General features: G+C 48.8%; 1 protein-coding gene across 1 annotated transcript in view, besides 1 other annotated feature; it reads left to right on the top strand.

Moving 5' to 3' along the window:
• Positions 1–14,156, top strand: part of MED26 (mediator complex subunit 26) — a 53,286-nt gene that overhangs the window by 13,167 nt on the left and 25,963 nt on the right. The gene's annotated exons all lie outside the window — the stretch shown is intronic.
• Positions 8,306–9,103: an enhancer, noted in NCBI's record as "H3K27ac-H3K4me1 hESC enhancer chr19:16716746-16717543 (GRCh37/hg19 assembly coordinates)". NCBI's record gives its function as "activates a minimal SCP1, AML or CMV promoter by ChIP-STARR-seq in naive H9 embryonic stem cells {active_cell/tissue: H9 hESC(naive)}" and the evidence as "EXISTENCE:reporter gene assay evidence [ECO:0000049][PMID:30033119]".

Here is a 14,156-nt window from a genome sequence, read left to right as displayed (position 1 = left end):
TAGAGAGCCATTCATTCTGTTAGGGCCAGTGACCAGTTTACAAATGGATGTGGGTCCATTTCTGACTTCAGATTACAGAAGTAGCATTGCCTAACCTGGGAGGACCCAGTTGGGCTTGGGGGTAAGAATTCAGGCTTAGTGGGGCTTAGTCATTTAGCTGATTAGTATTGGGGTTGAGGTGGCTGCGGCTGGATTTGGCCAGACCCCTGGAGGAAGCCCCCTTCCTGTGATGGTTACTTGGCTCTCTCCAACCTTCAGCCCTTTGGATTCCTCCCATGGTTCGAGGGGTCTGTTGGAGCCATACTGGCATGGTCTGCACCCAGGCGCTGAGCCTGTCCTGTGTGTATCGCTCAGTTCCGTTAGGTTTGGGGATTCCAGAAGCCGTCGACAGGACCCAGTGGCCTGGTGAACCCCTCAGGCCCACATGAGCCTGCACGTGCCTCCTCCCTCCAGGCCTGGGCAGACACTCCCCACCCACCCCCCACCTTTTTATTTTATTTTATTTTATTTTGAAATGGGGTCTTACTCTGTCACCCAGGCTGGAGTGCAGTGGCACAATCGGCTCACTGCAACCTCTACGTCCCCGGCTCAAGTGATCCTCCTACCTCAGCCTTCTGAGTAGCTAAGACTACAGACACACGCTACCACACCCAGCTAATTTTTTGTAATTTTTGTAGAGTTGGGGTTTCACCATGTTGCCCAGGCTGGTCTCAAATTCCTGAGCTCAAGCGATCTGCCTGCTTCGGCCTCCCAGAGTGCTGGAATTACAGGTGTGAGACCGTGCGCCGGGCCAGACACTACCCTTAGCACAGCTTCTGGACCTTAGCTGGAAGGCTTCAGGTCCTTCTCAGCTGCTTCTACTTTGGTGACCTTGGAGCAGATCACTTAATGTCTCCGAGCCTCAGTCTTTTTACTTGTGACATGGAGCTGGTGTTGCCATCACCTGGTGATACCATCCTGTGGGGCTTGAGGTATGTTGAGAGCCTGGCACAATGCCTAGCCTCCATTTAGTCACCCTGATCATGAAGATGCTGGTACTGTCTTCCTGTGACAGATGAGTTTGGGATGTTGTCTTCCTGAGGCCATGCGGTTGGAAGGGGGGAAGTGAGGATTTTAACTCCATCATTGATTCTGTCACCAAGCCCAGGGCATGGATCTCATTGAATCTAGTTACCAGTCCCACTTCACAAACCAAGGGCTCGACATCCTTTGGTGTAAATCTATAAGGGACTATAAGGACTTTATCCTGGGGCCATAACAGAAATGGTTGCAAGGACAGCAGCATCAACTCTTACTGTGTGCTCACTCTGTGCTAAGAATTATCCCATTTTATAGATGGGCTGATTCAGGAAACTGAAGCATAGTGAGGTTAGGTCGCTGGCACTGCACAGCTGTGAGCCCGACTCCTTCTGCCCTCAGAGCCTTTGCTTTCATCCGGAGATAACACTGCTGCCCACTGTAGAGGGAAGGGGGATGCATGTGAAGCCAGTGCCACCTAGACAGTGCCCGTCAAGCGCCTTGGGTAGAGAGCTGGGGACTCTGCTGTCTTTTTCCACCTCGGAAGTGGGGGAGTTTGTGCCTGAGCTGCTGTGGAGTGCAGAGGATCCCGTGTCCCTTCCCCAGCCAGACACGGCCTCTGACATCTCTAGAGCCTTTGAGCCATGTCAGCTCCAGTTGATGAGGTCTTTTCTTGTGGAGAAGGGAGGCTTTTCATTTCTTATGAGTAGGTTGATGAATAGGTTTAACAATCAACTAGAAATCCTCTAAGCCTCCTCTCCCCTCCTCCCAAAGAAAGAAAGATGGAAAGAAAGAAAAGTATTTAATATGTAAGAGTTTGGGAATTAGACCTGGATTCGAATCTCTACAGCTCCGTCTCCAAGTTATATGTCCTTGGACAAATCACATCAAATATTTATCAGTGCTATTAATACTCTCTATAAAGTGAGGACGTCCCTATCCTACTAAAGGTAAACAGTGCCTGAAAGGAAATTTAGTACCTAGTAGGTACTAAACATGTATAAGCCCCTTCTCGACTTTTCAGGAGCTAGGGGGTATTACACCCCTAGATGAGTTTGTAGATACTGAACTTTGATTTTCACAAATGCTGTTCTTTTTCAAGGGTAGTCTTTCCTTTAGTGTCAGCAAGGAGCAGTTACAAGACAACATTGCATAATTTACACATTTCTAAATGCTCCCTCGGGGGAAAACAGGAAGAAATTGGTTGTAGAACAAAATCCCAGACGTCAGGGTCCAGAGCCTCTTCCTTGGAAGAGGTGCTTAGGCTGAAATTCACAAGCAGGTTTAAAAGCTGCCTGTACTTTTCCAAATCTCTCTGTGCTGCAGTTGCAGGTGGGGATGATCAAAATACAACTTTGTGCACATGAAGCTGCCTTTCAGAAGCAATAGCCAATATTCTTCCTGTGTAGAGACATACTTTAGAATCAACAATTGTGGCTAGGCATGGTGGCTCCAGCCTGTAATCCCAGCACTTTGGGAGACCGAGGTGGGAGGATCGCTTGAGGCAAGGAGTTTGAGACCAACCTTGGCAACATAGTGACACCTTGTCTGTAGTAGAAATCACAAACATTAGGTGGGGCTGGTGGCATGTGCCTGTAGTCCCAGCTACTCGGGAGGCTGAGGTGGGAGGATCGCTTGAGCTGTGTAGGCTGAGGCTAGGGTGAGCCAAGATCACGCTACTGCACTCCAGCTTGGGTGATAGAGCGAGACCCTGTCTCAAGAAAAAAACCAAACACACAAAAAGTAATCATAATCATAAGATCTCCAAGATTTTACTGGACAGAAAAATGTTGACGTAATTGATACCTGGAACATATACCTTGCACAAAAACATGTGGGCAGAATGGCCTTGGTGGGTAATCAAGACTGGATGTTAAGCCAGCGGGTTGCTGTTTTATCTCTCCCGGCCTATCTCCTACCCCACCCCCAACAACCTGCATCACCCTGTTGGCAGGAGCTCAGAGCCACTGTCACCCTCTTGGAAACTATTTATGTAGCAAGAGGCATAGACATGCTCATGTCCTGTGACCCAGTAATTTTACTCTTGGAAGTTTATTTACAGGCTGAGCTTGGTGGCTCACGCCTGTAATCCCAACACTTTGGGAGGCCAAGGTGGCAGGATCGCTTGAGGCAAGGAGTTCAAGACCAGACTGACCAACATAACAAGACCTTGTCTCCATTTACTTCTTTTTTTTTTAATGAAGTTTATTTTTAAACAGCATGGGAGAAGCTTCAGAATCATGGTGCATCCACAGAGTCAAATAGCCTATAGCCGAAAGCGTGATTCTGAAGGCTCTATAGAAAAATGGGCAGGCCTTACCATGAGGGGGAAAGGAGTGGTTTTGTGACTCAGGCATCTGGATAGGCTGGATGCCTAAAGAACTAGAACTTGGGGTAAAATGGAAGCACTTGTGTTGGTTGGGGCAGGGGGAATGGGTTGGTTTGTTTTCCCCTATGCTCCATTGTCTTTTCAATTAAACTGTAAAAAAATGAAAATAAAAGTAGGCTGCTCTAGCCTGAAGAGCACTTGAGCACTATAGAGAGCAATCGGCTGTGGAGTGGATTGCGGGCCTCTATGTACTGCAATCAGTGGAGAGGATTAGTTCCCCTCTCATACGTTTCCGGAAGGTTCAGAACACTAGTGTGCAACATAACACTCCAGTCAAGGCCACCAGTCATGTTCTTCATGTTCCCAGAGGTCCATCCCACCAAAAATGACTGGACAACACCTGGTTTTCTCCACACAGTCAGTGAAGCCACACCCCATGGCTCTGCTAAACACCCTGGAGTGGTCCATGCCTCTGCCTTCCTCTCACCTTAGTCACCTACTCCACCTGTGAGGCCCGGGGGCTACTGCCAGGATGCATGTTCTCCAGCCCTCCTCTGCCCTCCATCTCGAGTCCAACCCTGGCCATTTCCCTCTTGGTCCTGTCCCTTCCATACCGATAAGCAGATGACACCACTGTCACTTCACATCCTTCAGTGGTTTTCCATCACCCTTAGAATAGACGCCCACATTCCTTATTGTCATGATCTACACATGCTACAGGCCTTGGGCCCTTCTTTCCTTTCTCAGCTTAACTTGAACCCTTGCCCTCATTCTTGTGGGAGAACCTTCTCCCTCATCCAGTTCTTGTGACAGTCGGACTTCTTCAGGCCTCTCCTGGCCACCCATTATACAGAGCCCATGCCCTCCTGCTGTCACACTGCTTTCAGCCTTCCATGTCATGGCACACATAGGAAACAGTGGCATCCACAGGGTGCAATGGGTAATTTGGAGGCGAGACTAGGGGAAAGTGCATGTGCTGTTTCTACCATAGAAATTATAAGGATGGTGGCTCACGCCTGTAACCTGTAATCCCAGCACTTTGGGAGGCTGAGGCGGGCGGATCACCTGAGTTCGGGAGTTTGAGACCAGCCTGACCAACATGGGGAAACCCCATCTCTACTAAAAATACAAAATGAGCTGGGCGTGGTGGCTAATGCTTGTAATCCCAGCTACCAGGAGGCTGAGGCAGGAGAATTGCTTGAACCTGGGAGGCGGAGGTTGTGGTGAGCCGAGATCACACCATTGCACTCCAGCCTGGGCAACAAGAGCAAAACTCAGTCTTGAAAAAAAAAAAAAAGAAATTATAAGGAAAATAAAATACAGGGTGTTAGGGAGCATAGTTAATACTGAACTTGTGTTGAATAACATTATGATTATTATTATTTTTAGAGGCAAGGTTTTGCTTATTATTATTATTTTTTAGAGACAGAGTCTTGCTCTAAAAACTTTACTTGTCCAGGCTGGAGTGCAATAGCGCAATCATAGCTCACTACAGCCTTGAGCTACTGGGCTCAAGGGATCCTCCTGCCTCAGCCTCCCAAGTAGCTGGAACTACAAGTGCTAGCCACCACACCTCACTAATTTTTGTATTTTTTATAGAGACGGTCTCGCTGTGTTGCCCAGGCTGGTCTTGAACTCCTGGCCGCCTTGGCATCCCAAAGGGTTGGGGTTACATGTGTGAGCGACCACACCCGGCTTGAATAACATTACTGAAATAACATTGCCTTTTTTTTTTTTTTTTTTTTTTTTTAAAGAGTGCTTGTGTCCAAGAACATAACTTTTATATGTTAGGGTGTGGGTTTTGTTTTTGTTTCTGTTTTGCTTGACTTTGATAATTGTTGTGGAGAAATTTTGTTTGCACAAGAAGGTGATAAAACTTGGAAGCATTTTTTTTAGTAAACATTGAAAAATTTATGAGTTGGCATTTCTAAAAAATCCAGATTCTTTAATCTTTTCATTTATATGTAATGTTGAAATACAATAATGCAAATGGACTTTAGTTTCATTCAGACTCTATTTCAAGCACTTCAAAATAATGAAGCTCTAATTTACATAAGGCATATACTAAGGTATAGACAGTGGTGTGCTGGTGAAAATTTGACAACCAGCTCTCAGGAAAAAGAAAAGAAATCCATACATATACATATGTAAATATGCATGTAAGTTTATGAGTTTTACTAGTATAAAGGATGGGTGGCATATAATTTGCAAATAATAATGAAATATACAACACTGTTGTCAGTTCCATATAGCCAATTGCTTCTCACCAGCTGCTTCCGTTGATTTTTGCTGAGCTTTTGTATCAGCTTCTGATTGGTTTTGACATGACTTTGGTTAATATCTTATTCTCTCTCTTTTTTTTTTTTTTTTTTTTTTTTTTGAGACGGAGTCTCGCTCTGTCACCCAGACTGGAGTCCGGTGGTGCAATCTCCGCTCGCTGCAACCTCCACCTCCCGGATTCAAGTGATTCTCATGCTGCCCCCTAAGCAGCTGCGACTATAGGTGTGCACCACCATACCCGGCTAATTTTTGTATTTTTAGTAGAGACAGGGTTTCTGCATTTTGGCCAGGCTGGTCTTGAACTCCTGGCCTCAAGTGACCCACCTGCCTCAGCCTCCCAAAGTGCTGGGATCACATGTGTGAGCCGCTGCACCAGCCTGGTCGATATCTTTGTATTAATGAGTCAAGTGATGTCTTTGCTGAATTAGATAATAGTTTTCAAATACCTGTACTATAAGAATATTTTCTCAATTGTCCTGTTCCCAATGTAATGACTTCAGGCATGACACGCTTTTTAAGTTTAATTGCATTATTAACATTTTCTCCATCACTTTCTTAAGTCTAAACCCCAGGAGTTGGCTAACTTTTTGTAAAGGGCCAGATAGTAAATATTTTCATCTTTGCAGGCCATATGGCCGTAGAGCTTCTGTTGTACTGCTATCTTTGTAGCACAAAAGCAGCCAGAGACAGTATGTGAGTGAATGAGCGTGACTGTGTTCCAGTAAAACTTGATGTGGTTAATTTATGTCAATGTGAATTTTACCTCAATAAACAGCATGTAAAATGAAAAAAGTAAAATCTTCATTTACAAAAACAGACAGTGTTATGGAATGGCCCAGGAGTTTGCAGATTTCTAGTTTGGAGCCCATAAAATCAAGCCCTGATTTATAGTGTTTACTGATTTCTGTGGTGGAAATACTCTCACCATGGCTGGCTTCAAGCCACTAACATGAGATCACTGAATGTGAGGTTGGGAAAGAGACTCAGTAGCACACCATGTCCTCCATGCCCATACAGTAGTCATGAATAACCTCAGAAACCTAGATAGTACTAAGTTTGGTAAAATAAGTAGGAAGTGATGAGTTTTGAGTACACAGTACTGAAAACTTCCTCCTTTGTTCTTATCACAACTTATTGTAAGCTTATATAATGTAATTGTTAGTAATGGCTCCTTTGATTCCTGAAAGTGTCACCACGGGCTTGCTCTCTCAGTAAAGCTGGCGTGAGCAGGCTCCAGCACACACCTGGGTAGAGTCCCTGCCCCTTACCTGGCTTGGATGCTGAAGGCTCGCGGCCCCAGAAGAGGAGATGTATTGGAACGTGTGCAGACGGAGATCTGGCCTGGGCCTGGAGCCTTGCCCACCAGGGCCCTGGTGCCCCTTGGCCTGCTTGCCGGGCTTCAGGCCACAGACAGGTTCCTTGTCCAGATGGTGTCTGCGCCTTTGCAGCTGGCTGCTGGGACAGTTCTCGTGATCGTAGTTTCCCATTGGCCCTGTCTAGCACCCCTCATTGGCTCACGAGGAGCCAGCTGCCCTGAAGGGGAGGCAGGGTATCATGCAACTTGCTCTAGATCGGGGTGTCCAATCTTTTGGCTTCTCTGAGCCACATTGGAAGAAGGATTGTCTTGGGCTGCACATAAAATACACTAACACTGATGATAGCCAATGAGCTTAAAAAAAAATCTCATAATGTTTTAAGAAAGTTTACGAATTTGTGTTGGGTTGCATGTGGCCCGAGGGCCATGGGTTGGACAAGCTTGCACTGCTTCTTGCTCCAGATGTATTACCTCCCCGGGTTCTCTCAGGGCTCCGGGGTTGAAGTGACCACCTCATCTGGCCCAGTGGTTGTGAGGGAAGCCTTCAACTCACATTAATCACACTGTTTATTTTCTTCATGGCTTTTAGTGTGGCTATGGTCTTGTCTGTTGCCTGCCTTCCCCAACATGAGTGTGAGCCCTCTGTCTGCTCCCTGAGTTCCTCTTCAGAAGGCACGAGGCACACAATATGGACATGCTCCTTTTTTTTTTTTTTTTTTTTCCCCACAAAAGGAGATAGTCTCTGTCACCCAGGCATGAGTGCAATGGCATAGCCATAGATCATTGTAGCCTCGGATTTCTGGGCTCAAGTGATCCTCCCACTTCAGCATCCTGAGTAGCTGGGACTACAGGTATATGCCACCACACCCGGCTAACTTTTTAATTTTTAAATTTTTATTTTTATTATCTATTTATTTTTTAGAGACAGGGTCTCACTATGTTGCCCAGGCTGGTCTTAAACTCCTGGCATCAAGCGATCCTCCCACCTCAGTTGCCTGCTTAGCTGGGATTACAGGTGTATGCCATCGTGCCTGGCCAACGTTCTTATTTTTCCAGGAGATAAATAGCAGCTGAGACCAGATACAGTGGTTCACACTTGTAATCCCGACACTTTGGGAGTCTGAGACAAGAGGATCATTTGAGCCCAGAAGTTTGAGACCAGACTGACCAACACAGGGAGAGCCTTCTGTGAAAAGGTGACTGAATGAATTCTCGTGTCTGCAGCAGTTGCATTGTGCATCCCAGGTGGGTTTGGGTTCCCACCAAACCTGCAAAAGTGCTCCTGATGCCAGACACCAACATTGCTTCTTGGTGTGTGCCAGGCACCCCTCCCCTGGGAAACGAGCAGCCCTGTCTCAGCCTACTCCCCTCCCAGATGGTGGCAGTCACTGTTGCTGACTTCATCACTGAGCCATCAAAAATCTCTCTAGGTTTCATCGTGGCTAATGCCACATTTGCTTATCCCCCGCTCCCCTCCAAAAAATGGAAACCCTCCCTCATTGTGTCTTTTGTTTTTGTTTTTATTTTTATTTTATTTTTATTTTTTTTGAGACGGAGTCTCGCTCTGTCACCCAAGCTGGAGTGCATTGGCATGATCTTGGCTCACTGCAACCTCTGCCTCCCGGGTTCAAGCAATTCTGCCTCATCCTCTTGAGTAGCTGGGATTACAGGCATGCGCCACCACACCCAGCTTATTTTTGTATTTTTAGTAGAGATGGGGGTTTCACTATGTTGGCCAGGCTGGTCTTGAACTCCCGACCTCAGGTGATCCGCCCACCTCAGCCTCCCAAAGTGCTGGGATTACAGGCGTGAGTCACTGCACCCGGCCCCATTGTGTCTTCAGGCTGCTTTGTGCTGACTGTGCTGGCCTCATTTATGGGGCCATACAGTCTCCTGAGATTCAAGAGTCACCGCAGCCTCTCCTGCTGGCCACAGGGCCTGTCTCCTGACCTCACCTGCTGCCGTGGGCCCAGGCGTGTGGATTCCAGATGACCCGCTAAGGGCGAGGTAGAGCTACAGCTTGGCTCTGTCTGGCTGTCTGGTGTGGTAGTGATCCGATGCTCTATCCCTTGCCAGGCCTCAGTTTTGAGTGAAGGAAGAAGGGGAAAACTGGCCTGTCTGGATGACAGATTTGCCATGCACGAATATCCGCACACAGTGATGTAGAGCTTTGGCTCTTTGTAACCAGGAGTTCGATAGGAAGACAACTTTGAAAAAGCACTTTGTGACTGGCAGGGTGCCATGCAGCCTCAGCTGTTCATTTCCAAGGGTCATCCATTTACAGGATGAATGCTCAAGCCTCTTCCTCCCGGTGCCATGGAGTCTGCCTGTCAGTCCCCTCCTTGCCCAGCATCTCCCGCCTGCCTCCTTGTTCCCCTATGCCTTCACCAAGCCATGTCTCCCACCCTGTTCACCCGAGCCTCTCCTCTCCTTTCCTCTAGTGCCGCCTGGCTGGGACAGTGCAGAAACACTGCTCCTGGCAGGGCGCCCTGTGCCTGTCCCCTTTCCTGCTGCTCTCTCTGACTGTGTGTGTGCAGTGAGTGGGGCAGCCTGGCCAATCCTACCTGCCTCAGGTGGATGGTGGCCCCAGGTGCTGCTGCCACTGTCTCTGTGTTCTATCCATTTCCCCTTTCCATGGGCGTTGTTCATTCACCTGGTCACTCATGGCCTTCAGTTCTCATCTCAGTCTGAGGACCCCCTTTGGCCTCATCAGTGTGTCCTGCCCACACTGGTGTCTCAAACTCCAGGCATTAAAAACCATACTTAGGGACTTTCCTCTCAGCTGTCTTTCTGATTCTACCTCCAACAATTTAAAAACTGCCTTTAGTGAGGTCTAATTTACATACAGTACAATGTGCCTATTTCAGGTGTACATTTGGCAGTGGAAGTCCCTCATTAAACAGTTATGTCTGTCTTGCTTTCACATTTGTCTTTTTATTTAGCTCTACGCTACATTTTGATGCATTTTTGACAAATTCGTATACCTGTGTAACTACTCCAGTTGAGGTGTAGAATATTTCCGTAACTTAAAAAGTTCTCCCTCCCCCCACTGAGGGGCTACCACCAATCCCCAGTTCACCCCGCCACCGGCACCACATTGGCACTGCTGGTGGGTGCTGTCGAGTACTGCAGGTAGGTACTGATTTTCTTACCTGTGGTGGGAAAATGGGGTAACAGCACCCATATGAACAGATGAGGCTCACAGAGGCTTGGGACGGACACATATTTTTGTGGTCCCCAACCTAGTTGTGTGGGCTTGTGTCACCATGAGCCGGCTCCCAGGGGTAGGGGTGGCGCAATCGCTGTGAGCCATTCCCTGCCCCCTGTAGCTAGGGTGACTGTGCATCTTATCAAGACCAGGACACTTTTCAGATGAATGAGGTGCTATTAAGAATGACAGTGAGTAACAGGTGTCACCCAGCAAACCTGGCCTAAGGTGGCCTTCTGCAACCCATTGTCTCTGATATCCTTGTGTACAGTCCTTAGAACCAGCCTTCCCCATGCAGAATGGAATCTAGGTGGCTCATGGTCTTTGAAGCGTCCTGGGACCCAGCCTCAGCCTGCACATCCAGGCATGGCCCTGCACTCCTGGGCGTTCCTGAGCTTAGTCGTTCTCCTTAATATGTTTCTTTTCCCTTTTTTCTCACTGACTTTTCAGTACACAAGCAATAAATACGTCTTCCTTTAAAAAAGTAAAATGTTTGAGTTACAGCTAAAGGCCTCCTTTGACCCCTGTCCCTGATGCAGTTCTTCTATCCCTCTGGAGAGGACCCATGTCACTAGTGTAGAGTCCATTTTCCTGTGCTGTGCAGGCACAGCCCAGAGCACTGGGCCATACTGTGCATGTGGCTTTTCAGTCAGTTCTGGCACACAGGGCAATCACTCTACACCTAGCTCACCTCCCTCCACAGTGTGTCCCAGCTTTCTGTGCTTGGTTACACATGGGTCTAGCTCACTCCTTTAACTGCAGCATAGCATTCCCTGCTAGAAGCCGCTTCATGATCATGGAACTGGCTTCCAGAGTTTTGCTAATGAAAAGGTGTTTTGCAGATATTCATGTGAATGTCTCCCTGTGCACCCAGGGGAGCCTCTACTTGTGCTTAGGTCTGCCAGGCAGTGAAAGTGCTGGGTGGTAGTTTTCACAGTGGCAGATAATGGAGGGGAGTCTTCTGTGGGTGCCCCTTGCAGGCAGAGGCACCTTTCCATGGGTACCTCTTCCATGGCTCTGCCCAGAGCCTGTACTCACAGGATGTGCATTCCAACCTCGGGGTCCTCTCACCACTGCCTGGAGCCTTACGGAGCCAGAGACCCTTCCCTAATGCCCTAGCTCCCCTGGTCCCCCACTGCTTTACTTGAACAGCCGAGGTTGGGTGTGTGGGCTCCAAGAGGCCTGCCAGAGTGAGCCTGGGGGAGAGTACCTGTTTACATCTGGCCCCCACATACCGAGATAGGCAGTGTTGGGGCCCTGCTATTGACCGATGGGGAGACTGCGGCTCAGGGGCTGAGGTCCCTTCCCCAGGATCTTCCCATAGCTCCTGCAGATGTGGTATTAGCATTCAGAAAGGCCCTTGATACATCAGCATAGTGTGGGAAGTTAAGAAGAAAAGAAGGGAAGAATTTTTTTTTTAAAAAAAGCCCTCAAGCACTCATGAGCACTCATGGCTTAACAGTGGCCCTAGAGGTGATGGTTTCCATGCTTCCCATTGCACAGATCGAGACCCACCTCCAGCTGGCTGGCACTTGACTATGGGCCTTGCAAGTTCTCCCACATGGCCATCTGATCCCTCCCACAGTCCCACAAGGGAGCGATGTTCATGCTTATCTTGGAAATACAACTTGCTCCACAGCCTCAGGAGGTTTTCCTGGTCTCAGTTCCAAGCCCAGCCCCTCTCTTCTTTGGCTGCCCTGTCCATTTATTTGCACATGAGACTCCCGTTTGCCTCAGTGGCCTGTGCAGGAGGAGCAGAGGGCCCAGGAGCCACCTAAAAGATGCCTGAGGGAGAGTGGTCCTGGCAGGAGGACCTCTTAGGAACTTAGGCAGCAGGGGCTCTGCCAGGGTCCCGCTGGTGTTTTTGTTTTTGTTTTTGTTTTAATTGTAAAATATACATCCCATAAAACTTAACCATCTTAGCTGTTTTTAACTGTACAGTTCAGTGGTCTTACACACTCACATGGTTGTGTGGTCATGATCACCATCTGTCTCCAGGACTCTTCATCTTGCAAAACCGAGCTCTGTTCCCATTCAACACTCACGTCCCTCCCCTTCCCGAGCCCTGGGCGCACGTACTGTTCGACTTTCCACCTCTCTGATTTTGTCTACTGAGTATGAGTGGAATTGTGCAGTGTTCATGCGACTGGCTTCTTTCCCTCAGCATAATGTCTTCAGTCTTCATCTGTGTTGTTGCATGTGTCAGGATTCCCTTCCTTTTTAAGGCTGAAATACTGTCCTGTTGTTCAGATATATCACACTTGGCTTATTCATTCATCTGTTCCTGAACACTTGAGTTGTATCCACCATGTTTTAGCCATGGCAAATAATGCTGCTGTGGACATGGGTGTGTAAATGTCTGTCCACGTCCCTGCTTTCGGTTCTTTTGGGTACATACCCAGAAGTGGAATTGCCTGTAGCGGTTGTTTCTGAGTTAAGTTTAGAAAGGTGGTAGGGGTGTGGCATTCAGGGTCCCATTCATGACAGTTGAGGGGAGAGGGTAGTGGGGATGGCTTATGGTTCCAGGCTGTGTGCAGGGTGTGAGGAAGACCTTCCACCTGGACCTACCTCCAAGTGCTCAGGGTTGCTGTGAGAAGGAATGAAATGCCCATTTCAGTCGCATTTCTGTGTCTTTGAGGAGAAGCTGTGTGTTCCAGTCGGCACCATTTTTTCCCTCATGGTCAGTGATGTACTGGTGTCCCAGAATGGGTACAGCGTGATCTGCCAAAAGTCTGTGCTCAGAACTTTCCATAGGGAATGAATGAACCAGCAGGTGCACGTCAGTAGGACAGGCTGACGGCGGCTCCCTGGTGTCTGGCTACAGGTATCCCGCCATCCATCCCCTGACACCCCTGCAGGCACACAGCCGAGTGGTGGGCTTCCCGGCCTGCCTTGAGTCCTCCCTCTCTCAGCCCCGCTGCTTCCCACAGCCACGTCCCTTCCTGCCCCTCACCATGTCGCTCCCTGAGGCTGGCCAGCGCCCACAGAACTGTCTCCCTGCTTCAGCTGTGTGTTTGCTTCTGCATAGCAGAATGAGCTATTTAAAACGACAGTCTGACCCTGTCACTCCCTGAGCTGAGCATGGCCCGGGGTGGCCTGCCGGGAGGTGTCCCCACCTTGTCTGGCACTCTGCGCATGCTGCGCTGCTGTGTGCCCAGCCCTTTACTTGTGCTGCTCCCGGGTCCTTGCCTCCCCAGCTTGTCCAGAGGACTCCTGCTTACTCTCCAGGTGTCCTCGCAGACTCCCTCTGTCACCCTCCTAGGGGCCCCAGAGCATCCTGAGTGTCACAGCCCTGCCTGCTACACACTTAGAAGCTCTCTCATCACATGTCTGCTCGCCTGCCAGGCCAGGAGCACCTTCAAGGCCACAGGCGTGCTTTATCTGTGTGTTGCTGTGAGTGGCAGCTGAGAGTGTGGTAAAAGAGCCAGTACTTAGGCCGGGCGCGGTGGCACACACCTGTAATCCCAACACTTTGGGAGGCCGAGGTGGACAGATAACGTGAGGTTGGGAGTTTGAGACCAGCCTGACCAACATGGAGAAACCCTGTCTCTACTAAAAATACAAAATTAGCTGGGCGTGGTGGCGCATGCCTGTAATCCCAGCTACTCGGGAGGCTGAGGCAGGAGAATCGCTTGAATCCAGGAAGCAGAGGTTGTGGTGAGCCGAGTTCATGCCATTGCATTCCAGCCTGGGAAACGAGTGAAACTCTGTCTCAAAAAAAAAAAAAAAGTCAGTGTTTGTAACCAGGCTGCCTGGGCCCCAGACCCAGCTGTGTGACCTCAGGTAGATTAGCTGACCTCTCTGTGCCTTAGCTGCTTGTAAAAGGGCTGGAGTGCAGTAGCACAGTCTCAGCTCACTGCTGCCTCAACCTCCTGGGTTCAATTTTCGTGCCTCAGCCTCCCCAGTAGCTGTGTCTACAGGCGTGCGCCACCACACCTGGCTAATTTTTGTGTTTTTTGTAGAGGCAGGGTTTTGCCATGTGGGCCAGGCTGGCCTTGAACTCCTGG

The sequence above is a fragment of the Homo sapiens genome, chromosome 19, assembly GCF_000001405.40.
Source record: "Homo sapiens chromosome 19, GRCh38.p14 Primary Assembly".
Classification (NCBI taxonomy): domain Eukaryota; kingdom Metazoa; phylum Chordata; class Mammalia; order Primates; family Hominidae; genus Homo; species Homo sapiens.
This window is presented reverse-complemented; position numbering and strand designations above follow the sequence as displayed.